Here is a 27,649-nt window from a genome sequence, read left to right as displayed (position 1 = left end):
TAGAATTCTCCTGTTAAATCACCAAGGCCTCAGTAGAAGAAAGTTATTCTAGGGTACCCCGGAGGTTTCCTGCACTGGTGTTCCCACGTGTGGCGTAAACCTGAGGGCATCATGTTATGAGGAGATGGGGGCTGCAGTGACTCGCAGGATCAGGAATTTCAACCTAGAGAACTGAGAGGAATGGGAAATCAACAAGATGAAGCCCCCTCCCAATCCCAGACACCCCTCTACCAACAGCCTCCTGCAAGAGCAGATTAGTTTCTATCCAGAAATTAAGGGAGAGATTGCTCATAAAGATGACAAGCTGCTGTCATTTCTAAAAGATGTGTATGTTGATTCCAAAGATCCTGTGTCTTCCATGCAGGTAAAAGCTGCTGAAAGATGTCAAGAGCTGAAAGAATTCAGATTGCCTTTTGGCCATCACTTTAATATGATAAATATTAAGATCATTCCCAAAGGCAAAATTTCCATTGTAGAAGCATTGACACTTCTCAATAATCATAAACTTTATCCAGAAACATGAACTGCTGAGAAAATAGCCCAAGAATACCATTTAGAACAGAAAGATGCGAATTCAGAAGTCGAAATCTCCTGAAGACAAGAAAGCAATACAATCAAAATGAAGAAAATCACAACAAATTCCTAAGTGTACTTCTCATCCTGTATATTTTCTCATTTTTCACATATTAAATTGTGTTAATTACCATGTGTTTAATGCTAATTGTGAGAGCATACTCTTAATATTTATTGACCTCCCTGACTTTTCAGGATTGCCATAGAATGTATTTTGTTTTCTTTTAATTTGGCATAGGCATATTTTATATGTACATGTCAGCATGACTAATCACTACATCTGTACCTTTATTATAAGTAAAAGAGCGTGTTATTTTAGGCACATCATACCAACTTTTAAATTCGTCATATGGCCCCTTGGGAAATATCCTGAATCCCTCATTTAAGTTTTACTGTCCAGTTTAGGTGTTTAGTTCATTCTTCATATGTGATAGTGAAAGTAAAAGCTTTCCTGACTCTTAAGACTGTGACATTTTCAAGATGGCCGAATAGGAACAGCTCCGGTCTACAGCTCCCAGCGTGAGCCACGCAGAAGACGGGTGATTTCTGCATTTCCATCTGAGGTACCGGGTTCATCTCACTAGGGAGTGCCAGACAGTGGGCGCAGGCCAGTGGGTGCACGCACCGTGCGCGAGCCGAAGCAGGGCGAGGCATTGCCTCACCTGGGAAGCGCAAGGGGTCAGGGAGTTCCCTTTCTGAGTCAAAGAAAGCGGTGACGGACGCACCTGGAAAATCGGGTCACTCCCACCCGAATATTGCGCTTTTCAGACCGGCTTAAAAAACGGCGCACCACGAGACTATATCCCACACCTGGCTCGGAGGGTCCTACGCCCACGGAATCTCGCTGATTGCTAGCACAGCAGTCTGAGATCAAACTGCAAGGCGGCAGCGAAGCTGGGGGAGGGGCGCCCGCCATTGCCCAGGCTTGCTTAGGTAAACAAAGCAGCCGGGAAGCTCGAACTGGGTGGAGCCCACCACAGCTCAAGGAGGCCTGCCTGCCTCTGTAGGCTCCACCTCTGGGGGCAGGGCACAGACAAACAAAAAGACAGCAGTAACCTCTGCAGACTTAAATGTCCCTGTCTGACAGCTTTGAAGAGAGCAGTGGTTCTCCCAGCAAGCAGCTGGAGATCTGAGAACGGGCAGACTGCCTCCTCAAGTGGGTCCCTGACCCCTGACCCCCGAGCAGCCTAACTGGGAGGCACCCCCCAGCAGGGGCAAACTGACACCTCACACTGCAGGGTATTCCAACAGACCTGCAGCTGAGGGTCCTGTCTGTTAGAAGGAAAACTAACAAACAGAAAGGACATCCACACCAAAAACCCATCTGTACATCACCATCATCAAAGACCAAAAGTAGATAAAACCACAAAGATGGGGAAAAAACAGAACAGAAAAACTGGAAACTCTAAAACGCAGAGCGCCTCTCCTCCTCCAAAGGAACGCAGTTCCTCACCAGCAACGGAACAAAGCTGGATGGAGAATGATTTTGACGAGCTGAGAGAAGAAGTCTTCAGACGATCAAATTACTCTGAGCTACGGGAGGACATTCAAACCAAAGGCAAAGAAGTTGAAAACTTTGAAAAAAATTTAGAAGAATGTATAACTAGAATAACCAATACAGAGAAGTGCTTAAAGGAGCTGATGGAGCTGAAAACCAAGGCTCGAGAACTACGTGAAGAATGCAGAAGCCTCAGGAGCCGATGCGATCAACTGGAAGAAAGGGTATCAGCAATGGAAGATGAAATGAATGAAATGAAGCGAGAAGGGAAGTTTAGAGAAAAAAGAATAAAAAGAAATGAGCAAAGCCTCCAAGAAATATGGGACTATGTGAAAAGACCAAATCTACGTCTGATTGGTGTACCTCAAAGTGATGTGGAGAATGGAACCAAGTTGGAAAACACTCTGCAGGATATTACCCAGGAGAACTTCCCCAATCTAGCAAGGCAGGCCAACGTTCAGACTCAGGAAATACAGAGAACGCCACAAAGATAATCCTCGAGAAGAGCAACTCCAAGACACATAATTGTCAGATTCACCAAAGTTGAAATGAAGGAAAAAATGTTAAGGGCAGCCAGAGAGAAAGGTCGGGTTACCCTCAAAGGGAAGCCCATCAGACTAACAGCAGATCTCTCGGCAGAAACCCTACAAGCCAGAAGAGAGTGGGGGCCAATATTCAACATTCTTAAAGAAAAGAATTTTCAACCCAGAATTTCATATCCAGCCAAACTAAGCTTCAAAAGTGAAGGAGAAATAAAATACTTTACAGACAAGCAAATGCTGAGAGATTTTGTCACCACCAGGCCTGCCCTAAAAGAGCTCCTGAAGGAAGCACTAAACATGGAAAGGAACAACCGGTACCAGCCGCTGCAAAATCATGCCAAAATGTAAAGACCATCTATGCTGAGAAGAAACTGCATCAACTAACGAGCAAAATCACCAGCTAACATCATAATGACAGGATCAAATTCACACATAACAATATTAACTTTAAATGTAAATGGACTCAATTCTCCAATTAAAAGACACAGACTGGCAAGTTGGATAAAGAGTCAAGACCCAACAGTGTGCTGTATTCAGGAAACCCATCTCACGTGCAGAGACACACATAGGCTCAAAATAAAAGGATGGAGGAAGATCTACCAAGCAAATGGAAAACAAAAAAAGGCAGGGGTTGCAATCCTAGTCTCTGATAAAACAGACTTTAAACCAACAAAGATCAAAAGAGACAAAGAAGGCCATTACATAATGGTAAAGGGATCAATTCAACAAGAGGAACTAACTATCCTAAATATATATGCACCCAATACAGGAGCACCCAGATTCATAAAGCAAGTCCTGAGTGACCTACAAAGAGACTTAGACTCCCACACATTAATAATGGGAGACTTTAACACCCCACTGTCAACATTAGACAGATCAATGAGACAGAAAGTCAACAAGGATACCCAGGAATTGAACTCAGCTCTGCACCAAGCGGACCTAACAGACATCTACAGAACTCTCCACCCCAAATCAACAGAATATACATTTTTTTCAGCACCACACCACACCTATTCCAAAATTGACCACATAGTTGGAAGTAAAACTCTCCTCAGCAAATGTAAAAGAACAGAAATTATAACAAACTATCTCTCAGACCACAGTGCAATCAAACTAGAACTCAGGATTAAGAATCTCACTCAAAGCCACTCAACTACATGGAAACTGAACAACCTGCTCCTGAATGACTACTGGGTACGTAACGAAATGAAGGCAGAAATAAAGATGTTCTTTGAAACCAACGAGAACAAAGACACAACATACCAGAATCTCTGGGAGGCATTCAAAGCAGTGTGTAGAGGGAAATTTATAGCACTAAATGCCCACAAGAGAAAGCGGGAAAGATCCAAAATTGACACCCTAACATCACAATTAAAAGAACTAGAAAAGCAAGAGCAAACACATTCAAAAGCTAGCAGAAGGCAAGAAATAACTAAAATCAGAGCAGAACTGAAGGAAATAGAGACACAAAAAACCCTTCAAAAAATCAATGAATCCAGGAGCTGGTTTTTTGAAAGGATCAACAAAATTGATAGACCGCTAGCAAGACTAATAAAGAAGAAAAGAGAGAAGAATCAAATAGACACAATAAAAAATAATAAAGGGGATATCACCACCGATCCCACAGAAATACAAACTACCATCAGAGAATACTACAAACACCTCTACACAAATAAACTAGAAAATCTAGAAGAAATGGATACATTCCTCGACACATACACTCTCCCAAGACTAAACCAGGAAGAAGTTGAATCTCTGAATAGACCAATAACAGGAGCTGAAATTGTGGCAATAATCAGTAGTTTACCAACCAAAAAGAGTCCAGGACCAGATGGATTCACAGCTGAATTCTACCAGAGGTACAAGGAGGAACTGGTACCATTCCTTCTGAAACTATTCCAATCAATAGAAAAAGAGGGAATCCTCCCTAACTCATTTTATGAGGCCAGCATCATTCTGATACCAAAGCCGGGCAGAGACACAACCAAAAAAGAGAATTTTAGACCAATATCCTTGATGAACATTGATGCAAAAATCCTCAATAAAATACTGGCAAACCGAATCCAGCAGCACATCAAAAAGCTTATCCACCATGATCAAGTGGGCTTCATCCCTGGGATGCAAGGCTGGTTCAATATACGCAAATCAATAAATGTAATCCAGCATATAAACAGAGCCAAAGACAAAAACCACATGATTATCTCAATAGATGCAGAAAAAGCCTTTGACAAAATTCAACAACCCTTCATGCTAAAAACTCTCAATAAATTAGGTATTGATGGGATGTATTTCAAAATAATAAGAGCTATCTATGACAAACCCACAGCCAATATCATACTGAATGGGCAAAAACTGGAAGCACTCCCTTTGAAAACTGGCACAAGACAGGGATGCCCTCTCTCACCGCTCCTATTCAACATAGTGTTGGAAGTTCTGGCCAGGGCAATCAGGCAGGAGAAGGAAATAAAAGGTATTCAATTAGGAAAAGAGGAAGTCAAATTGTCCCTGTTTGCAGACGACATGATTGTTTATCTAGAAAACTCCATCATCTCAGCCCAAAATCTCCTTAAGCTGATAAGCAACTTCAGCAAAGTCTCAGGATACAAAATCAATGTACAAAAATCACAAGCATTCTTATACACCAATAACAGACAAACAGAGAGCCAAATCATGAGTGATCTCCCATTCACAATTGCTTCAAAGAGAATAAAATACCTAGGAATCCAACTTACAAGGGATGTGAAGGACCTCTTCAAGGAGAACTACAAACCACTGCTCAAGGAAATAAAAGAGGATACAAACAAATGGAAGAACATTCCATGCTCATGGGTAGGAAGAATCAATATCGTGAAAATGGCCATACTGCCCAAGGTAATTTACAGATTCAATGCCATCCCCATCAAGCTACCAATGACTTTCTTCACAGAATTGGAAAAAACTACTTTAAAGTTCATATGGAACCAAAAAAGAGCCCGCATCGCCAAGTCAATCCTAAGCCAAAAGAACAAAGCTGGAGGCATCACGCTACCTGACTTCAAACTATACTTCAAGGCTACAGTAACCAAAACAGCATGGTACTGGTACCAAAACAGAGATATAGATCAATGGAACAGAACAGAGCCCTCAGAAATAACGCCGCATACCTACAACTATCTGATCTTTGACAAACCTGAGAAAAACAAGCAATGGGGAAAGGATTCCCTATTTAATAAATGGTGCTGGGAAAACTGGCTAGCCATATGTAGAAAGCTGAAACTGGATCCCTTCCTTACACCTTATACAAAAATCAATTCAAGATGGATTAAAGATTTAAACGTTAGACCTAAAACCATAAAAACCCTAGAAGAAAACCTAGGCATTACCATTCAGGACATAGGTGTGGGCAAGGACTTCATGTCCAAAACACCAAAAGCAATGGCAACAAAAGCCAAAATTGACAAATGGGATCTAATTAAACTAAAGAGCTTCTGCACAGCAAAAGAAACTACCATCAGAGTGAACAGGCAACCTACAACATGGGAGAAAATTTTCGCAACCTACTCATCTGACAAAGGGCTAATATCCAGAATCTACAATGAACTCGAACAAATTTACAAGAAAAAAACAACCCCATCAAAAAGTGGGCGAAGGACATGAACAGACACTTCTCAAAAGAAGACATTTATGCAGCCAAAAAACACATGAAAAAATGCTCATCATCACTGGCCATCAGAGAAATGCAAATCAAAACCACTATGAGATATCATCTCACACCAGTTAGAATGGCGATCATTAAAAAGTCAGGAAACAACAGGTGCTGGAGAGGATGTGGAGAAATAGGAACACTTTTACACTGTTGGTGGGACTGTAAACCAGTTCAACCATTGTGGAAGTCAGTGTGGCGATTCCTCAGGGATCTAGAACTAGAAATACCATTTGACCCAGCCATCCCATTACTGGGTATATACCCAAATGACTATAAATCATGCTGCTATAAAGACACATGCACACGTATGTTTATTGCGGCATTATTCACAATAGCAAAGACTTGGAACCAACCCAAATGTCCAACAATGATAGACTGGATTAAGAAAATGTGGCACATATACACCATGGAATACTATGCAGCCATAAAAAATGATGAGTTCATGTCCTTTGTAGGGACATGGATGAAACTGGAAACCATCATTCTCAGTAAACTATCGCAAGAACAAAAAACCAAACACCGCATATTCTCCCTCATAGGTGGGAATTGAACAATGAGATCACATGGACACAGGAAGGGGAATATCACACTCTGGGGACTGTTGTGGGGTGGGGGGAGAGGGGAGGGATAGCATTGGGAGATATACCTAATGCTAGATGACGAGTTAGTGGGTGCAGCACACCAGCATGGCACATGTATACATATGTAACTAACCTGCACAATGTGCACATGTACCCTAAAACTTAAAGTATAAAAAAAAAAAAAAAAAAGACTGTGACATTTTCTTGTTAGGGAAAGAGACTTGATAGTGAGGTAGACTAACAGTATTTCCCAAATAAAGGCACAGAGGAAAAAATTACGAATCAGTAGAATCTAATTAAAATTACTACTCCAGGGAGTAAGAAGTATCGAGGATTTATTTTATTTTGAATTGGTTTTAAGTATGGAATAATTGTTTTTACAGTTATAAAAAGTAATTAGTGGTGTTTACAAAATGTTGGGAATTTTTGCTTTGACAAACAAATAGGTAAGTCCCATGGCCTTCAGAGAGGCAGGCAGCAGTAGAAACTTTCGAAAAAGTAACATTTCTCTGGATTTAACATGGAAATAGAAAAATTTAAAGAATAATTAAATAAGAAAATGATGGTAAATGAAATTTAGTGATTATATATAGTTTTGGATGTTAATGCTAGTTGAGAGACGAGAGAAAAAACATCAAGTGGAAGCAGAGAACAGGATCACTGAAAGGGACCTGAGAAACTGCTGCTTCATCCATTTTAGCAAACTTATGAGCATACCATGTACCAGCACTAGGATCTTGAGTAAGATTGTGTGAGTTTAGCTCTGCCTAATATATTACTATTGTGGGATCTTTGGGAGACTGTGTATCCTCTTTGAGACTGAATTTCTTCTATAAAATGAGCATACTGCTACCTTACTTAAATTTAAGGGTTATCATGAAGATAAATGAAACAGTAAAGGACTACAAAGGGCCAAGCAAATATGAATTATTTATGCAGTGGAGAAACAGGCTCCTGGGGAGAATATATGATCTATGGTTCTGTAGTTTATGACCTAACCAGGCCCAGAATTTAGGTTTTCAAATCCTAGTAATGAGTTTTTTCTGTTGTGCCAAAAAGTAGCACACCTCAGGAGAGGGAAAATGTGTGTACTGTGGGTATATTGGGGTTATCAGTGCTTCTGAAGGAAGACAGGCATCACTACTTCCCAGAGATGCCCCTGGAAATGATATAGAAGATGCTGAAGAATTCAACATGATGACGGAAGGAGGCATTTGTAGTAATGCTAAGAACAGAAAAATGGACTAAGTGGAAAATTTGTAAGCATGTCTTTGAATGTAGATTTGTTATATGAACAAACTATATACCTAGTTTATTTTTGGTTTAACATAATAATTCTTTTGAGAAAACATGAAATAACTACTCAATATAAAACGCATTTTAAAACTGCTATAAATCAGTCAAAACTTTATTCCTTTTATCATAATGGTCACTATTTGAGTCACTAGTGCTATTTCTGAGCCATCTCCTATTGGCATCTACATTGTGGTTAGGCAGCTGTTATATGGTTTCACATGACAAAATAAAGGACTTCCTATATCAAAAAAAAAAAAGAAAGTTATTCTGTGCTAATAGTTTAGATTTTCTAGTTATCTAAAGTTAGTATTTATTTTTTCAATTTTCCTAGAAAATCATCCATTTCTTCTAGGTTCTCAAATTAATTTGCACAGGATTGAACAAAATATTTTCTTAGGATTCTCTTCTTTTCTATTTTTATCATTTCCCCATTATTTCTTGGTTTATGCCCTTTCCTGTCTACTTTTTGATTTTATAAACTTAATATCATATTTTTAAAAAATCAGCTCTTTTATTTAGCTGATCAATTTTTGTCTAATTTATAACTTTTATTCCCTTCTTCTGCTTTTTTATGTTTATTGATAATTTTTCTAACTTTGAGTTAGATATTTAATGGAGTTATTTTCTTTCTTCATTAAGATAAGTGCCTCTGAACTCTATTTTAGCTCCATCTCACAAGTTCTGATATGTATTGTTTTCATTATGCTTTTGTTTTAGATTTTCTATAACTTGTTTGGTTTCTTCTGATCTAAGAATTATTTTAGTAGGAAATTTAAAATGTCCAGGTGATGATATTCTTTTTCCTAAGTTCTACTTTTATTGCAATGAGATCACAGAATGCTGTATATATTTACTTTGCCTTTTGAAATTCTTTGAAATTTTCTTTATGGTCTATTTTTGTGAATGTTTTATTTGACATTCTTAGTTTTCAGGATACAAAGCTTGACAATCTCAAATATTGACTTCATTATTTTATTTGGGTTTTCTTTCTCTTAGTTGTTGTCCACTTGATCTCTTATGAACTAAGAGAAGTGAATAAACATTCTTATCACTACTATGTAACTATTATTCTTTATATTTTCTGTAGTTTCTGCTTTATGGATGTTTAATGCTATACTGTTGCTTTGAATTATTCCTCATTGCCTTATTTAAAACTTTTCCACTAAATTCAATCTTGTCTGACAGTAAAGATATAATCTCTACTTTTTTCTTTGTGTTTCCCATGTTTTCCATCTTGTCTGTGTGATTCCTCATTGAGTCTATTACCCTTCTTCTTCTTTTTTTTTTTTTATTTTTTTTTTTGAGACAGATTCTCACTCTGTCACCCAGGCTGGAATGCAATGGCTCAATCTCAGCTCACTGCAACCTCCACCTCCCAGGTTCAAGCAATTCTCCTGCCTCAGTCTCCCAAGTAGCTGGGATTACAGGTGCCTGCCACCACGCCCAGCTAAATTTTTTTCTTTTTTTTTGTTTTTTTTTTTTTGTATTTTTAGTAGAGACAGGGTTTTGAGCTCCTGACCTCAGGTGATCCGCACGCCTCAGCCTCCCAAAGTGCTGGGATTACAGGCGTGAGTCACCGTGCCCAGCACCCCCGCTTTCTTCTTTATACCCTAGGAAGGCCAAGAAAGCTCCTGCTGCTAGTACACAAATCCTATCCCATAAACTGGGCATTATTGGTTTTGCCCCCTAGAAAGTTCTGCCAGCTTTGTGTGAGATCTGCAGCTGTGGGCATTTTTAACTGCATTTATCATTCTTCATCACATTTTGTAGTCTGGAGTTGTGCATATATCTTTCTTTGAAGATAGGGTTCATGTTTCTACCATGTTGCTCTCCCAGTGCAGTTGGATAATTTGTAAGGGAGAAGGAAAATAATGCTGTAATCTTTGTTCTGTCATTTTAAAAATCAGAATCTAGAATTTATTTTTTGCCAATTCTCCTCCTCTATCCCATACTCTATGTCATGCTTTCTGGCCAAATGCTATGCTGTTCTGTGCTCTGCAGATGTTCTGATGTTCTAGATAACAGTATGTTCTGGTCCTTAGTCCCCTAAATGTGAATGGCCTATCTAATATAGTATAATAGTTCAGCTTTCCTTAGTTCTGATGACCAACATTATGCATATATTATCTGGTTCCTTGAAATTCCTCCCATAGTTTCTTGGCTGTTCTACACTGTCTATATCTATCTCTCCCAGAAATTTCTGGAAATCCGACTCTTGTCTCTAACTTGTATCTCTCTCTTCAGTTCAGTTTAGTCTGCCTGAAAAAATATTTTTACCAGGCAGTTCAAAGCTGCTGCTAAACCTTAAGACAGAACCATAGCTGGGCCACATTATGTACTCAATAGTGTTTCACCTATTATATACAGAGCCCTCTCCTGGGAATTGGTGAGGCACACCAAGATGAGTGCTTCAGGAACTCAAAATCTAATAGGGGAGAAAGAAAAAATATTGTTCTGAAGCTATTTTGCTAAATGCACATTTCCACGTAGTCTCCTCAATGCCAACATGTGCTATTAGTGTTAGCCATCTTTCTCTGAGCCCTCCCTGTAATGCATCACCTCTCTTAAACAATTAGGATTATATACGTTACTTTTTCCTATTCAAGGTCAATATATTCTTGGGTGGCCACAAAACTGCTATTGTTCATCAGTCCTTGCCTTGGTTACAGAGCTAAAATAATAAACACTGAACTCATAGAACAGCTGTATAAATTAGGATCCTTTGACCACAAAGAATAGAGACTCAGTAAAGTTGTCTCAAGTATCTGTGTGTGGATGTGCATGTGAGAGGGGTAACTGGGAACAGCTATTGTAAGGTTTCACATGAAAATAAGGAACAAAGGTATGTTTTGTGGCTAGGCCTTATGGGAACTCATGGAAAGTAGTTTAACCAGGTCTCATGAAAAGTATAGGAACACAGATGGAGAATTTCAAGTTGTTCAGAATCCAATAGATAAGTAATGATGTAATTAGTTCTTTATCCCCTTGGCAGCAATTTGTTGACCATCCTCTTCCCCCACAGATACAATTTAAATATATGTATCTACCCCCACCCCTACCAACACACACACACACACACACACACACACGTAAAAAAGTTCATGACTTAGCTCATACTTACTTGTCACTCTTGCTTATTCATGGCTTCTACTGACTCATGTCATTTTTTTTTTTTTTTTTTTTTTTTTTTTTTTTTTTTTGAGACGGAGTCTCGCTTTGTCGCCCAGGCTGGAGTGCAGTGGTGCGATCTCGGCTCACTACAAGCTCCGCCTCCCGGGTTCACGCCATTCTCCCGCCTCAGCCTCTCCGAGTAGCTGGGACTACAGGCGCCCGCCAGCAAGCCCGGCTAATTTTTTGTATTTTTAGTAGAGACGGGGTTTCACTGTGGTCTCGATCCCCTGACCTCGTGATCCGCCCGCCTCGGCCTCCCAAAGTGCTGGGATTACAAGCGTGAGCCACAGCGCCCGGCCCATGTCATTTTTGTCTGCCTCTTTTTCTGGTTAAGCAGTTGGTGTTTGCTCCTATCAAATAATACTCTCTATTTCAAATTAAAAATTTCCTAAGAAAGAACATCTGATCAGTCCACTATGTCACTATCATCAGTTAGATAAAACACTTGTACTAGGTCGTTAAATCTGTCAGCCTTCAAGCTACCTGAATGCTTTAGGTCAAATGTTCTGAGATGTGGTCAAGATGGTAAAGTCATGCAATATAGAACATGGCCATCTATATGTATCTAGCTAGAGTTGGTATCCTTAGCAAGAGGCTACAGGTAGGACCCCTTAGGAAAGGACTCTGGGTATACAGAAACTCCTAGATTTCACCTATCCAATATAGTATAATTGTTAAGCTTTCCTCAGTTCCAATGATCAACATTATGCATTTTATCCTAGGTTCTCTATGATTAGCAAGAAACATTAGTCTTGTGAAACAGATATGCTCATTTTATTGCATTTTAAGTATTTCTTTTATACTTACACGTAATCACTGCCAAGATAAATGTCCATATGCTATACCACCAAAGGCATGAGAACTTAGCCTGGCCAGCTAGAAACTTTTTGGAAAGAGGTATATCAAATAGCTACTACTACTAGTTTTCAAGGGGTTAAAGGGATTAATATATCTACTTCTATAAAGAGACTATCCATTCACTAGGGTCAAGCACTAGTATACCTAGCAGAAATTAGGGCTTACTTATAATTACATTTCTGCCACCTAAGACCACACAGACAAAAGATTTTTTTATTTCACTTTTGACAAATCAGCACTGAATTTAGGTCTGCTCATAACAATTCCTATGAGAATAGCTTTTATTATCATCATATAAAATGGGAAAGAAAATAATTCTAGATGCTAACAATGCCATCATTCTAGATTAGGGGTACACTAGATTAAAAGAATAAACTCCTTTTGTTTTAGAATTTCAACCAGGACACAGCTGTAAACTTCAGCCTGGCCTGGCATCTGAACTGAGGCAATAAATGCCATATTTGGCATAGCATTTGTTTGCCCAAATCTAACCATATGCCACTGGAATTGAAGAGGAGGCAATTCTCCACAGGGCCAGAATGTATTCCTTTAAAGCTCTCATGGGGGCATGCTCTTCCACCTGTCCCTGTGTGTGAGATTTGCCCAATTCTTGCAAAACTATAAACTCTACCAATCATAAAAATAATCTGATAATTTTTTAGAGTACACAAGTAGAAGATACATTCATCAAACAAAGGTGATAACAACTTAAGATCCTTACACAATAAACATCATAATGAGAAGTTTCTCATAAAAATATTTTCAATTTCCAGGTAATGACCTATATCTTATAGACATATTATTGATGTGGTTAAAAATAAATTCTTTATAGTGAATAATACAGAAAATTCATTCTACAAGGAACATTTTTTTTTTTTTTTGAGACCGAGTTTTGCTCTTGTTGCCCAGGCAGGAGTGCAATGGCACGATCTCGGCTCAGTGCAACCTCTCCCTCCCGGGTTCAAGTGATTCTCCCACCTCAGCCCCCCAAGTAACTGGAATTACAGGCATGCGCCACCACGCCCAGCTAATTTTTGTATTTTCAGTAGAGATGGGGTTTCATCATGTTGGCCAGGCTGGTCTTGAACTCCTGACCTCAGGTGATTTGCCCACCTTGGCCTCCCAAAGTGCTGGGATTACAGGCATGAGCCACTGCGCCCCGCCTGGAACATATTTTTATTAGTCAGATACATACCACACTACTTTCAGCATTCATTTGGTTTTCATCCAAGGAGTTACAAAGCACTTATAATATCATTTTGCCAGGAATCATGCTGGGTGTTCAGCATAGGGAACTGAATTTACCTCATACCTTCCCTCAAGAGAAGGAGCGATGAAGCCAACAATGCAAAAAGACTGATAAGTAAATATAACAGAGAACAATGTCAGAGTATGTCTAGCTGGCTAATCCATTGGCCAAAGATACAGAGGGCACATTCTGGCTTCAGCAAGTCCTATCAGAGATATGTCACACTTTGCATACTCTCAAAAGCGTTTACCTCAAGAGATACTATGAAATCTACTATCAGATGTACAAAGGAAGAAAACATATTTCTCAACTTTGATTTATGATTATTTTGTATCCCAGTGTAAAAACTTGATTATTAAACTGGGCAAGAAGAGAGAGATCAAGATTGTCATCAAGTCTCTGTTTTACAATGAGGGTGCTATTAGCAGGTGGAAAGAAATAGCTACAGAAGAATACATCTTTGAAATGAATTACTGGGTCAGACAGAGGGAGAGAGAAAAACAGATTATCTGATATGGAGCATAGAAAGAAAGTATATCCTTCAACTCCTCTCTCATACCTCAAACATCTTAGCTTCCCTCACTCCCTGTACAAACCTCCTAACATCCTAATCTACTCAATTTGCCTGGTCATGTATGACAGAAAATACATGTTGAAAAAAAAGAGAAAAGAAATGAATGGGAATAAAATTATGTTCTTGATACCACCTTGAAATCAAATTAACATCTTTTAATATATGCTAGCTGCTGAAGCAGTTGAATTACAGAATCTCAATGATTTAAAATAATAGTTTATTTTTTTGTTTATGCAAAGTTCAGATGGCAGAAAAGTAGGCATGGGGATTCTGAACCATGCAGTCATTTTAGGAATTTCAACTGAAGGTGGTTCTTTCACCCTCAATGTGTGGCTTCCGAGGTCACTTTGGGTGCCAATATCCAGTTGACACAAGGGATAGACAGCATGAAAGCTGCATAAGGAATTTTTTTTTTACATAACCAGACCAAAGGAAGAAATATACATCACTTTTATTCCCATTCCTTGGCCCAGTCTCAGTCACATGCCTATACTAATAAAAATGAATTTTTATTTCACGTTTGACAATTCAGAACTGATTTTAGTTTGCTCATCACAATCCCTATGAGAACAGAGTTTTATTATCATCTTATAAAACAGAAAAGAAAATAATTTTAGAAGCCAGAGGAGGCTGGGAAATATAGTCCAGCTGTGTCAGCAGAAAGAAAAGAAAATAGATTTGGTGAACAGTTAGCCAATCTCTGCCACAGCGTCTCTCTCCGAATATTTTACTTTATCTGCAAATTCATCCAGCTCTTCTGTCCCAGGAATGTGAATTTAAATGAATGGTGTATTTATTGCATTGAAATTCTACTTTAAAAAATTTGCCTCTCAGTGAAATTTACTATAAATTGAATTGCCTATAAAAGGTAAATTTTCATTATCATTACATCCTGACTTGTTCGATTACGAGTTCAACTAACTAAGAATATTTTAAAAACCTCTTTAGTTTTATTATATCAGTGGTACCATCTCCATTAGCATTCTTTATTTATCAAACTTAATATTTCTAAAACTGAACTCTTGATCATTCCCCCCTCCAAATTTCCTCCTGACTTCCTCAGCTCAGAAAAAAAGACTTTTGGACAAGCAGTTTTTCAAGTCAGGTGCTTAGGAATAACCCTTTATATTTTACTCACTCTCAAGTCTTTCATCTAATTTATCAGCAGGTTAGACACATTTTACCTTCAAAATGTATCTTTAATCCATTCATTTCTTCCAGTTTCCTCTAATCCAAGTCATATCTCCCTCTCACCTGGAATACTGCTACAGTTTCCTCTCTCCTTCCATCTTTAGAGAGGAACCCTTCAAAAGATTTGCAGGATACAATTCAAACTCTTAACCAAGGCCTTCAAGGACCTGCATGAATCTGGTCCCTGGCTTCATCTCCAACCTCATTTTCCAGCACTTATTTTGTTCTATGTGTACCAGCCTTTTACTTTTTTGAAAAAGGCTAAATACCTTTCTTACTGAGGGCCTTGCAATATAGTATTGCTTGTCTAGAGAGTTTTATGCTTTTCTTTTTATGATGAAATGTATTTGCATATAAAAATATAATTGATATATATGACTCCCACCCATTCAAGCACTAAGGTTAAGACAGGCAATTATCCCAACAGCATGTCTGTGGGAAGAACAGGTTAATGGGGGGCGGCGGGGGGGGCGGGGATGGGCTTTTTCTCCTAGTTCACTTACTGAGAGAGAAGTCTTTGAGAGTCCTGGCTTTGCCTTTTGTCTCCTGCACAAGATCTATTAAAGCCCATGGTTTTGGCCACGAGGGATTGGCAAATGCCCAGAGAAAAAAAACACAGGTTTAGAATTTACTTTTTTTTTTTTTTTTCAGACGGAGTTTCACTCTTGTTGCCCAGGCTGGAGTGCAATGGTGCCATCTTGGCTCACTGCAACCTCCGCCTCCCAGGTTCAAGCGATTCTCCTGCCTCAGCCTCCCAAGTAGCTGGGATTACATGCGTGTGCCACCACACCCTGCTAATTTTGTATTTTTAGTAGAGAGAGGGTTTCCCCATGTTGGTCAGGCTGGTCTTGAACTCCCAACCTCAGGTGATCTTCCCGCCTTGGCCTCCCAAAGTGCAGGGATTACAGGTGTGAGCCACCGTGCCTGGCCTAGAATTTACTTCTATATCAGGATTCAGACTTTCTCATAATTCCTGGCTTCTAAAAATGCTCCTTATTTTCCTACTAAGCCACACATTAAAAATTTTTAATTATTTTAGGCAGAACTTATATTGACATCTAGTCTACTATTTTTCCAGAAATACAAGCTCCTCTAAAAGCATACTTAATTATTCCTCTTTAGCTGGTTAGCTCCTATTGGTCTGTTAGGGCCTCAACTTACAATGTCACTTCCTCAGAAAAGTTCTCCTTGATCATCATTCCTCAATCTAAGTTAGCTTCCTACTATTTTCTGTCTTAAAACAACTTTCTGTTTCCTTTTGTAACATTTATCACAACTTGCGATTTTATATTATTTTTGTGTTATCTGTCCCTTCCATTATCCTGAAAGCTTCAGGAGGATAGGAATATTTTCTGTTATGATCATAACTGAATGGAGTGCCTACTGCAGTACTAGGACCTAGTGGGTACATAATAAGTGGTAAAGATTAAGTGAAAGAATGAGTGGATGCCATGTAAATGATCATACTGCACTAGAGTAGTCTTAAATTCTGTTACTGGGCTGGGTGTGATGGCTCATGCCTGTAATCCTAGCACTTTGGGAGGCTGATGCAGGTGGATCACTTGAGCCCAGGAGTTTGGGCAACATGACAGAACCCTGTCTCTACTATATATATATATATATATCTCTACACACACACACATATATATATACACACACACACATACACACATACACACACACACACACACACACACACACACACAAATTAGCTGGTTGTGGTGGCATGCGCCTGTAGTCCCAGCTACTCCAGTAGCTGTGATGAGAGGATCTCTTGAACCTAGGAGGTTGAAGCTGCAGTGAGCTGTGATCACACCACTACACTCTAGCCTAGGTGATGGAGTGACACCCTGTCTCAGAAAATAAAAATAAATACATTATGCGACTGATAAATACTGGCAGTAATAATCAACTTTTAAATTTTGACTGCCTTCAGAAAATATGTAGTAAAGTGTAAGATTAGTACAAAAATAGTGAGTAAAAGAGGTAGTAAAGCAAAGACTCTGAAACCATACTGCCTGGATTCAAAATTTGGCTTTGTCATTTATTAGCCAAGTAGCCTTCATTAGGGACTTACACATTCTAGGCCTGTTTTCTGATCTATAGAATTGGGTCAATAAGAGTATTTACTTCATGGTGTTGTGATGATTAAATGATAAACATGCCAGGCATACAAGGAAGCAGGACATTATTGCTATGGTGGTTGCTATCACTACAAAGTTATTGTTAACCAATGCACTGCTTTCAAACAAAAATGGCAAACAGCATAGAATCATAAGGGAAAAATATGTAGGAGTGGCAAGCTGGAGAAAGGGACCTGGGGCTACAGATGTGCCAGCAAAAGTCATGAACACACAGAGACAGCCAGGAGGAAGGTAGCCAGTAGTGGCTGTGGGTGTGCCCACTGTCAGCACATGGATGTAACTGACATAGAGGTCATGGGAGAAGGGGCTGCTGGAGGGAGCCTGAACTGGGTCTGTGATCTCCTTTTGCAACATGCTCATAGCACTTAGTTCCTAAGATCCATCACCAACTCTCTGTGGGGAAGGATATCTTTGGATCTGTTTTTGGGCGCAGTTCATCTAGAATAGTGGGGAACATCAGCCAAAGAGGCAAAATTAAGTTGTGCACCTTTTGACAGCAGCAAGTATCTCCAGGCATTAAAGGCAAGTTTTGTCTAATGTAGTAGTTTTCCTGACAAATGCAGTACTCTACTCATGGACCTCTTTTTTCTTTTCCTTTTCTTTTTCTTTTTTCTTTTTCTTTTTCTTTTTTCTTTTTTGAGATAGAGTCTTGCTCTATCGCCCAGGCTGGAATGTAGTGGCACGATCTCGGCTCACTGCAACCTCCACCTCCCGGGTTCAAGCGATTCTCCTGCCTCAGCCTCCTGAGTAGCTGGGATTACAGGTGCCTGACACCACACCTGGCTAATTTTTGCATTTTTTGTAGAGACAGGGTTTCACTATGATGGCCAGGCTAGTCTCGAACTCCTGGCCTCAGGTGATCCGTCTGCCTTGGCCTCCCAAAGTGCTAGGATTATAGGCATGAACCACCGCACCTAGCCTGGATCTTATTTTTCAAAAGACAAAATACTAGATCTTTTGAATTTTCTTTTGTATTCTTTCTTGTTTCCACCGCATTGTTCTCCAAATACTGAGAATGTATTACATGATCTCCTCTCCTTTGCTTACCCCCAACTCCACTCTCCTACCTTAGGTGTTAGATCAATCTAAAGTTAAGTCACTAGAATTTGGATCTTGTGATATTTCACTGACTATACAGGTCTGATTATTTTATAAGGAACAAAGTTGTAGCGTTTTATCTAGACATAAAGCTAGTTTTTTTTTAGTCACCTAGAGGTTCTACCCATGAACCTCCATGAAAAATTTACATTAAGATGAGTCTAAATATATTATCCATAGAAAGAATCTAAGGTTATATCTGTTGGGATAAAATGACTAATGCTGAACCTTGAGATGAATTAAAACAAGAACAGATTAACTAGGGCCAATCAAAGAGTCTGTCTATAGCAAAACACTGAATAGTTAGGTTGATATTATATGGAAAGCTTTTGTTTGGTTCTCTCATATTTTCAATTGGTCAGTGTCAGAGAAAGAATTGCCAGTTGTCCTTTCTTTAAGACAAGGTGGACTCATCCTCAGGAAAAAAGGGCAACATTTACCCTGAAAAACCAATTGTAATATTCAACTTTAACTTCCTATTTAAATTGGAATATATGAATTTAAAGGTCAGCTGCTGCTGTATCTTGGCTAAGAATGTAGGTACTTTGGGAGACTCGGAGTACTCTCTTAGTCTTTAATTGCAATATTCTCAAGTGCTATTTTCTTAAGAAAGTGTTCATGTTAATTTTGGCAAATGTATTCTCTTCCTCCATTGATTTATGTTGTCTAAAACGTTCTTTTTAGAGTTAGCATTGTTCAACAGAACAATGAACCAGCACAACCAAAAGATACCAAAGTATTGTCAAATTAAAATAAAATTAAATAAACAAAATTGAAAATTTCCCTCAAATCTCCTATAAATTATTAATAACCATGAGGTAGACAACTGAAACAATTCTGAGCCTCCTCCGAACTCTGGAAACCCACCTTTCTGATGTATGATAGAATCAGTATCATAGGTTAGATGCTCCTTGTAATCAGAGTATCTCTACTCAAATGTTATTACCAATTCATAATCATCTACTGTTTCTGCTATCAGAGACCCTAAACTGATGCCAGGTTCACTCATTCATTGGTTTTGTGAAGTATTTTTGTTTTGTTTGAAAAATAACAGCTCACCAGGTGCGGTAGCTCATGCCTGTAATCCCAGCACTTTGGGATGCCGAGGTGGGCAGATCACCTGAGGTCAGGAGTTCGAGACCAGCCTGGCCAACATGATGAAACCTTGTCTCTACTAAAAATACAAAAATTGGCCAGGCATGGTGGCACATGCCTGTAGTCCCAGCTAGTTGGGAGGCTAAGGAAGGAGAATCGCTTGAACCTGGGAGGCAGAGGTTGCAGTGAGCCGACATCGTGCCACTGCACTCCAGCCTGGGAGATAGAGTGAGACTCTGCCTCAAAAGAAAAAAAAGAAAAATAACACCTCATGGCAAAAAAAAACCAAATTATATAAAAGGAAATTATTAAATCACATTATAAATAAAAATAAATAGATTAAATTAAACAAAAAGTATTAACGAGTAAAAGCAAATTTTATTGAATGGGAAGGAAGTCTCCTTTCCACACCAGACTTTCAGCTCTCTCCTCAGAAACTAAGCTAGTTTTTTTTTTTGTACTGAAACACAAATTTTCCATGCATGAATGTGGCAGATTGTTACAGGAATGGCTTCTAATCAGTCATGACTCCTGGTATCCCTTTCCCTTGTGGTATGTTTGAAACAGCTTGATAAAGTGTTTGTGCACTGGATCTTGCCTTCTTGAGAACATGGATCACAGTATTGTGAAGATGCTGAGCATGAGTAAGCATGGGGAAAGAGGGGCCCTGTTCTAAGCTGTTCCAACAGTTGAATGCTACCACATGAGTGAATCCAGGAGATACCAACAGAAGAACCACCTAGCCAACTCACAGAATCACGAAAAATATTGTTGTTTTAAACCTGTAAGTTTTGGGATGGTTTGTTATACAGCAATAGATAATTGATACAATGGGCAACCATAAATATGCAGATATACTCATGACAGTCTTTGAATTTATGAAGAAAATAAATGGATAATTATGAAATGCATAAAAAATTGTACATCAAAATATAAAATGTGATTATAACTTCATACATAAAGATGGAAATAACTAGTCTATCATTTGTGATCTATTAGTAATTATATTACATTAGTAATTACATTAGCAATCTTTTGACTATAAACTCTTTTAATCTGACATTCTACTCTGTTTTAAAGTCTGTGGCATATACATCTTAGCCTCAATTCTTTCAACACAGTTATTTTGATCACACACGACTAAGAAACTTATGCAAATGAAACTTGAAAAAACTTTTAGTATCCTAAAATCACTGTATAATAATCCAAAAAAATCTAATAGGGATGAGGGAGGGCATCTGGTTATCCACAACATCAAGGAAGAATGATGACCTTCTATCTAAGTCTTAACGGTCTGGAATGGTGGAAAATTCACAAATTTATATTGCATGAGCCCTCTAAGCTACACAGTATAATAAACACCACTCTTAAAAGCAAAATTCAGACAGATTTCACTTTTTATTTCATTTTTCTATAGGAATAAACCTGGAATACCACTCAGTGTAACATTTGAGGATTTTCCTGTTTATTACCAGAAGTATTTTCAGGGAAAATGCAAAGCCCAATATTCTTCATCTTTTATAAACAGGGTTTGTTACCTCAATAAATATAAATAAATAGTAGATGGACTCCTTGATTCATCTACTATGCTAGGTGTTGGTTCAGGCATCTAGGGAGGGGCAAGGAAGAGTCACAGCCTTGAGGACCTCACAATGAGAGAAACTAGAGTCATAATGACTATCTTGGTTGTACACTAATTATGGACTACATTGTGCCAAGTTTCTTATTTATATTATCCTATTTATAATCTTGATAGCAATCCTATTTCATAGAAAATAGGATCTCCATTTTACAGAAGAGATAACTGAGGTACAATAAGTAACTTGCCAGAGATCAAACAGCTACTAATTAAATGGAAAAGGCTAAATTTAAACTCCAACAATGTGGCTTCAGAAAACCACGTTCTTAACGCCAACAGTGGTGCTCTAGTGTAGGAATTGCCAGAGTCAGAATAAATAACAGCCTAGGTTTCCAGAGCAGGTGATGTTTGACCTGCAACCTAAAGGGTAAATAGGAGTTTGCTTGACTACATAGCTACAACAAGGAATTAATTTAGCCAATGCTTCACACATGTGTTTAATTTAATTAATTCTTACAACATCTCTGTGCAGTAGGTATTAGCCTTGTTTCACGATGAGGAAACTCATACTCGAAGGAGATCAAGTAACTTTCTCAGGATCACTCAGTAAGAACTGGAGCCAGAATTCAAACCTAGACTTGTCCACTCCCAAAGCCTCTGCCTTCTCCAGGCACTCCACAGACAGAAAGCAACCTAGGCAGCAGAAACAGGATGTGACAAGGCCATGGCATATTGGTATGAGTGAAAGGGAAGTGTGCCAACCTGAGGTGTGTGGGATTGTCTTGCAGGTAACAGGGAGCTTCAGTGTCCTCTGAGGAGTGATAAACTGAGGTTAGTTTTCCAGACAGACAACTCAAATGGTCGCATGCAGAGGAAACTAGAGGGGACAGAAACCAAAGCCGGAGAGACCAGTTATGAGACAGTTATAGCACTCCAGACAAGCAATGTCAGGAACCTGAAACTGCAAATTCTGATGGCTCTAAGAAGATCCTACTATGTCAGACAATCTTCAAAATGTTTCCTTCACAGAAGCAATGTCTGCCATCTGGCTTCTTAAATAATGGCCATCCTAAAATTGGGTCAAAATTTAGGGACAAAAGTTTTTATGTAAATAATTCTAGAAAGTAAACTAAGTACCTGTGTCCTATATAGTATTCAACATATGTTGTTGCTTAAAATACTCTATTATAATACAATATAGACTTTCTTCTACCACTGGACATTGTGCAAAGATACAACTTACTTGCACAATTCACTGCCTCTCTTTCAGGAAAAGAGAGGAATAAGGCAGGTTATGGTCTGCATAACATAGGATACAATATAAAAGCAGGATTATAAGAAAGTTAATGCAACAAGACCATACTAGAACAGGGTATGTAAGGTAAATTAGAACTTCTAACAAGCTATCATGCATGCCAGAGAAAATTCCTTGCCAACCAAGTGGGCTGATAGAAGTGGAGGGTGGAGCTGTAAAAAAAAATAGGATCTTTTAGATCATCTGAGAGTTTAGGAGAAAATGGGTGATGTTGGGTATGCTGACAAAAATAGGAAACTGTCACGTGTTATAAGATATTGGAGGTATAGCTCAGAGCTGCCAAGCAAGATTCACGTTCAGAAGAGAATGTTTTCAGAGAAATTGAGAAGAAATGCGCACTCAGTTACTATGAGAACAACACTGTTATGGGGTGAATTGTGCCCCCCCAATTAATATGTTGAAATCCTAACTCCCAGTACCTCCAGTATCTGTATTGGGAGATAAGGCCTTTAAAGAGACAATTAAGTTAAAATGGGTCCTTAGGGTGGGCTCTAATCCAATATGACTGGTGTCCTTATAAAAAGAGATTAGAGCTGGGCACAGTGGCACATGCCTATAGTCCTTGCTACTCAGTAGGAGGCTAAGCCATGAGGATCGTTTGAGCCCAGTAGTTCAAGATTGCAGTGAGCTATAATCACACCTGTGACTAGCCACTGCACACCAGTCTGGGCAACATGGTGAGACACCATCTCTTAAAAAAAAACAAAGACAGAGAGAGATTAGGACACAGATAATATAGACAGAGGAATAATCATGTGAGGATACAATGAGATGGTGACCATCCCATGTGGAAACCAAGAAGAGAGGCCTCAAAAGAAATCAACCCTGCCAACATCTTGATCTTGGACTTCTAACCTTCAGAACTGTGAGAAAGCAAATTTCTGTTGTTTAAGCCTCCCAGTCTATGCATCCAACCAGCCTAAACACATATGAAGAAATGCTCATCATCACTAATCATCAGAGAAATGCAAATCAAAACCACAATGAGATACCATGTCACACCAGTCAGAATGGCTTTTGTTAAAATGTCAAAAAATAAGATGTTGGCGAGGCCGCAGAGAAAAGGGAATGCTTATACATTGTTGGTGGGAATGTAAATTACTCTAGCCACTGCGGTGAACAGATTAGAGATTTATCAAAGAAATGTTGAATTACTATTTGAACCAGCAATCCCATTACTGGGTATACACGCAGAGGAAAATAAATTGTTCTACCAAAAAGACACATGTACCTGTATGTTCACCACAAAGCTATTCATAACAGCAAAGACTTAGAATCAAGCAGGTGCCTATCAACGGTGGACTGGATAAAGAAAATGTGGTGGCCGGGCGTGGTGGCTCACGCTTGTAATCTCAGCACTTTCAGAGGCCGAGGCAGGTGGATTACCTGAGGTCAGGAGTTCAAGAGCAGCCTGGCCAACATGGTGAAACCCCATCTCTACTAATAATACAAAAATTAGCTGAGGATGGTGGCACACACCTGTATTCCCAGCTATTCAGGAGGCTGAGGCAGGAGAATCACTTGAACCCGAGAGGCGTGAGGGAAGATCGCACCATTGCACTCCAGCCTGGGCAATGAGAGTGAAACTCTGTCTCCAAAAAAAGAAAAAAAGAAAACTGAAATCACCTTTTCTGCAGCAACGTGGATGCAACTGGAGGTCATTATCCTAAGCAAACTAATGCACAAACAGAAAACCAAATACTGCATGTTTTACTTATAAGTGGGAGCTAAACATTGAGTACACCTGGACATAGAGATGGGAACAACAGATACTCAGGACTATTTGAGGGAGGCAGGAAGTAGCCAAGAGCTGAAAAACCACCTGTTGCGCACCAAGCTCACTATCTGGGTGAGAGATTCCTTTGTACTCCAAGCCTCAGCATCTCGCAATATATTCATGTGACAAACCTGCACCTGTACCCTTGATTCTTTTTTTGTTTGTTTGTTTGTTTTGAGACAGAGTTTTGCTCTGTCGCCCAGGCTGGAGAGCAGCGGCACCATCTCCAGTCACTGTAACCTCTGCCTCCTGGGTTCAAGCGATTCTCCTGCCTCAGCCTCCCGAGTTGGGATTACAGCTGGGATTACAGGCATGCGCCACCACACCCAGCTAATTTTGTATCTTTAGTAGAGATGGGGTTTTGCCATTTTGGCCAGGCTGGTCTCAAACTCCTGGCCTCAAGTGATCCACCACCTTGGCCTCCCAAAGTGCTGGGATTACAGGTGTGAGCCACCATGCCTGGCCACACCCTCGATTCTAAAATAAAAGTTGAGTAAAGAATCCTTCCAGTGTGTATTTATTTTGTTAGGGCATCCCTAGAAAATGAATGCAGATGTAAAACAGCAGACATGAGAAACAGAAACAAAAGTATGACCTCTTCAGGAACCAATTTTGTAAGAAACTTCAGCTAAAACTTTTCAGGATAAAAGTAGCAAGAGTTAGTAGAAAGTATGGTGACTCTACGGGTTAGGGATAACAGAATAAGGCAGTGCCTGGAAAGGCTAACACACTGATAAATCTGTTGAACTTGTGCCACAATGAGAACGTGACGCTTCTCCTAGCCTAAACTACTATCAGAACACTGTTTTACCACCTCTTTATGTCGTTTGTACTCCAAGATTCCTTCACATTATAAAAATCAAAAAAGCAAAACCAATAATGAGTATTTAAAAGAGACTATATTAACTACATATACAGTAATGATTTGGGTAGGAAGTGCCTCAGGCTAAGAAAAAAGGCAAAAGGTAGATGTTCTAGATGAAAGCAATAGCTCTGTTCCTCTCACAGGTTGAAGTAACAAAATCCCCAAGTCAGAGGGTTTGGCAATGAGAAAAGAATGCCCATTTGATCACAACTATTAACTACAGCAAGGAATATAATTTTCTCCTCAGTAGTTTGTTGTCTTTAAGTGGAACTTCAGAAGGCTTGACAAACAACAGTTGGAGATATGTGAACAACATTTAAAATATTTCGCTTTTTTTGGTTGCTATGGTCATTTACATGTTGCTGCCACCATTTCAAAAAAAAAATTTTTTTTTAGGAACAGTAGGGGAGAGAGGAGGAGAGAAAAAGGCCCAAGAGTGAAATAAGCAATTTCTCCAGAATATTAATTAGATTTAGTTATTTGCAAGGTAAATGGATCTGAGTTGGAGAAATGAAAATATGAAAAATTACTCAGTAAATCTAATATAATTATATTTTATATTCCCCAGAGTACAGGCATTGGTATCTAAAACAGTTGTGCTTTAAGTGTTTAGAACACTAAACCCTCAGGATCCAATGGCCCAACCTTCCTAATGTAACTTATCTGAAACACCTAAGTTTCATTTAAGTTTATTTCTTATTTATTTAGAGACAGAGTCTTGCTCTGTCGCCCAGGCCAGAGTGCAGTGGCACGATCTCAGCTCACTGAAACCTCCCCCTCCTGGGTTCAAGTGACTCTCCTGCCTCAGCCTCCCAAGTAGCTGGGACTATAGGCGTGTGTCACCATGCCCAGCTAATTTTTGTACTAATATATATATAGATATGTATATATCTATATCTATATATTTTTTTTGAGATGGAGTTTTACTCTTTCGCCCAGGCTGGAGGGAAGTGGAGCGAACTCAGCTCACTGCAACCTCTGCCTTCCTGGTTCAAGAGACTCTCTTGCCCCAGCCTCCCTAGTAGCTGGGATTACAGGCACGTGTCACCACACCTGGCTAAGTTTTGTATTTTTAGTAGAGACGGGGTTTCACCCTGTTGGCCAAGCTGGTCTCGAACTCCTGACCTTAGGTGATCCACCCACCTTGGCTTCCCGAAGTGCTATGATTACAGGTGTGAGCCACTGCGCCTGGCCTAAATTTTGTATTTTTAGTAGAGACAGGATTTCACCATGTTGGTAAAGCTGGTTTCAAATTCCTGACCTCAAGTGATCGGCAAAGTATCCCAAAGTATTGGGAGGCAAAGGCAAGTATTACAGGCATGAGCCACTTACCCAGCCAATTTCTAATTTATTTTTACTGATACATAATAATTGTACATATTTATGGAGAACATGCGATATTTTGCTCCCTGAATGCTATGTGTAATGATTACATCAGAGTACTAGGATATCGATCACCTCAAACATGTGTCAATTCTTTTTGTTGGGAACCTTTTGAATCTTCTATTTTGAAGTACACAATAAATTATTAACTATAGTCACCCTGATGTGCTACTGAATACTATAACTTATTCCTTCTATCAAAGTGTATGCTTGTGTGCTCATTAACCAACCTCTCTTCATTTATTTTTATTGTTGCCTAACATAATGAAATTATTTCCAGTGAGAAGCAACAAGGGTTCAGAGGAATGTTTTCTTTTCTTCTGTAAATCGGATCCCCAAATACAAATCATGAAGCACACTTTAAACATAATGTTAATATGAATTCAAGTGATAATAAATAAATAAAATAATTCAAAGAAATGTAGAATCACGGTAAATGGTTGCGGGAAAATTATTGATTACTGCTGTTCCCAATAGTGAAGACAAGTTCTAACGTTATGGCAACTCTGATAGATATAAATCACAACTACTGGATAAAAGGTAATTGGCAAAACACTTCAGAAAGGTAAACAAAATATGGAAACTCTTATTTAAGAGCATAATCATTAGGTTTTGATCCATTATAAGACTGCTGGGCGTGAATTAGGTGCAGGGAAAAAAAGAAAACTTAAAGTTTTTGAAGAAAAATAAACTACTAGGTGAGATAGCAATTCTGATGTTCTTTTTGTTGTTAATTATGCATGGAATGCACATAGTTCCAATTTTGGAACGTCTATAAAGGCATAATGCTCTATTCCTATGGTTTACTATTTGTTTTTCTAAGAAAAGAGTTGCCCAAATATAAATCAATTTTTATATCCATTAGTTTACCCATCAGGTTAATTTTAAAATGTATGTATGGCTTTCTTTTTAATGAACTGCCAGAAAATGACTGGCAGAAGTAGGTACAGGGTAGAAACAAAATGGCAGAAGCAAATAAAGAAGACAAATGTGTTCTAGCTCAGGGGTCCCTACCACCAGGCAGCGGACCAGTACCGGTCATTAGGAACCGGGCCACACAGAAAGAGGTGCCTCGTGGGAGAGCAAGCATTATGGCCTGAGCTCTGCCTCCTGTCTGATCAGCAGTAGCATTAGATTTTCATAGGAGCGTGAACCCTATTGTGAACTGCACATGC

At 39.1% G+C, this 27,649-nt stretch overlaps 1 protein-coding gene and 1 pseudogene across 22 annotated transcripts in view, besides 4 other annotated features; one reads left to right on the top strand and one right to left on the bottom strand.

The window, feature by feature from the left end:
* RABGAP1L (RAB GTPase activating protein 1 like) overlaps positions 1-27,649 on the bottom strand; it is an 835,789-nt gene that overhangs the window by 145,016 nt on the left and 663,124 nt on the right. The window lies entirely within an intron of this gene.
* Positions 52-819, top strand: NDUFAF4P4 (NADH:ubiquinone oxidoreductase complex assembly factor 4 pseudogene 4; annotated as a pseudogene).
* Positions 344-1,543: an enhancer, noted in NCBI's record as "MED14-independent group 3 enhancer chr1:174817888-174819087 (GRCh37/hg19 assembly coordinates)". NCBI's record gives its function as "activates an origin of replication core promoter dependent on BRD2, BRD4, P300/CBP and CDK7 cofactors, and independent of MED14, by STARR-seq in HCT116 cells {active_cell/tissue: HCT116}" and the evidence as "EXISTENCE:reporter gene assay evidence [ECO:0000049][PMID:35650434]".
* Positions 344-1,855: a biological region, named in NCBI's record as "MED14-independent group 3 enhancer GRCh37_chr1:174817888-174819087".
* Positions 674-1,264: an enhancer, noted in NCBI's record as "NANOG-H3K27ac-H3K4me1 hESC enhancer chr1:174818167-174818757 (GRCh37/hg19 assembly coordinates)". NCBI's record gives its function as "activates a minimal SCP1, AML or CMV promoter by ChIP-STARR-seq in naive and primed H9 embryonic stem cells {active_cell/tissue: H9 hESC(naive and primed)}" and the evidence as "EXISTENCE:reporter gene assay evidence [ECO:0000049][PMID:30033119]".
* Positions 1,265-1,855: an enhancer, noted in NCBI's record as "NANOG-H3K27ac-H3K4me1 hESC enhancer chr1:174817576-174818166 (GRCh37/hg19 assembly coordinates)". NCBI's record gives its function as "activates a minimal SCP1, AML or CMV promoter by ChIP-STARR-seq in primed H9 embryonic stem cells {active_cell/tissue: H9 hESC(primed)}" and the evidence as "EXISTENCE:reporter gene assay evidence [ECO:0000049][PMID:30033119]".

The sequence above is a fragment of the Homo sapiens genome, chromosome 1 (genome assembly GCF_000001405.40).
Source record: "Homo sapiens chromosome 1, GRCh38.p14 Primary Assembly".
Classification (NCBI taxonomy): domain Eukaryota; kingdom Metazoa; phylum Chordata; class Mammalia; order Primates; family Hominidae; genus Homo; species Homo sapiens.
Note: the sequence above shows the minus strand (reverse complement) of the source record. Positions and strands in the feature narration are given on the sequence as shown.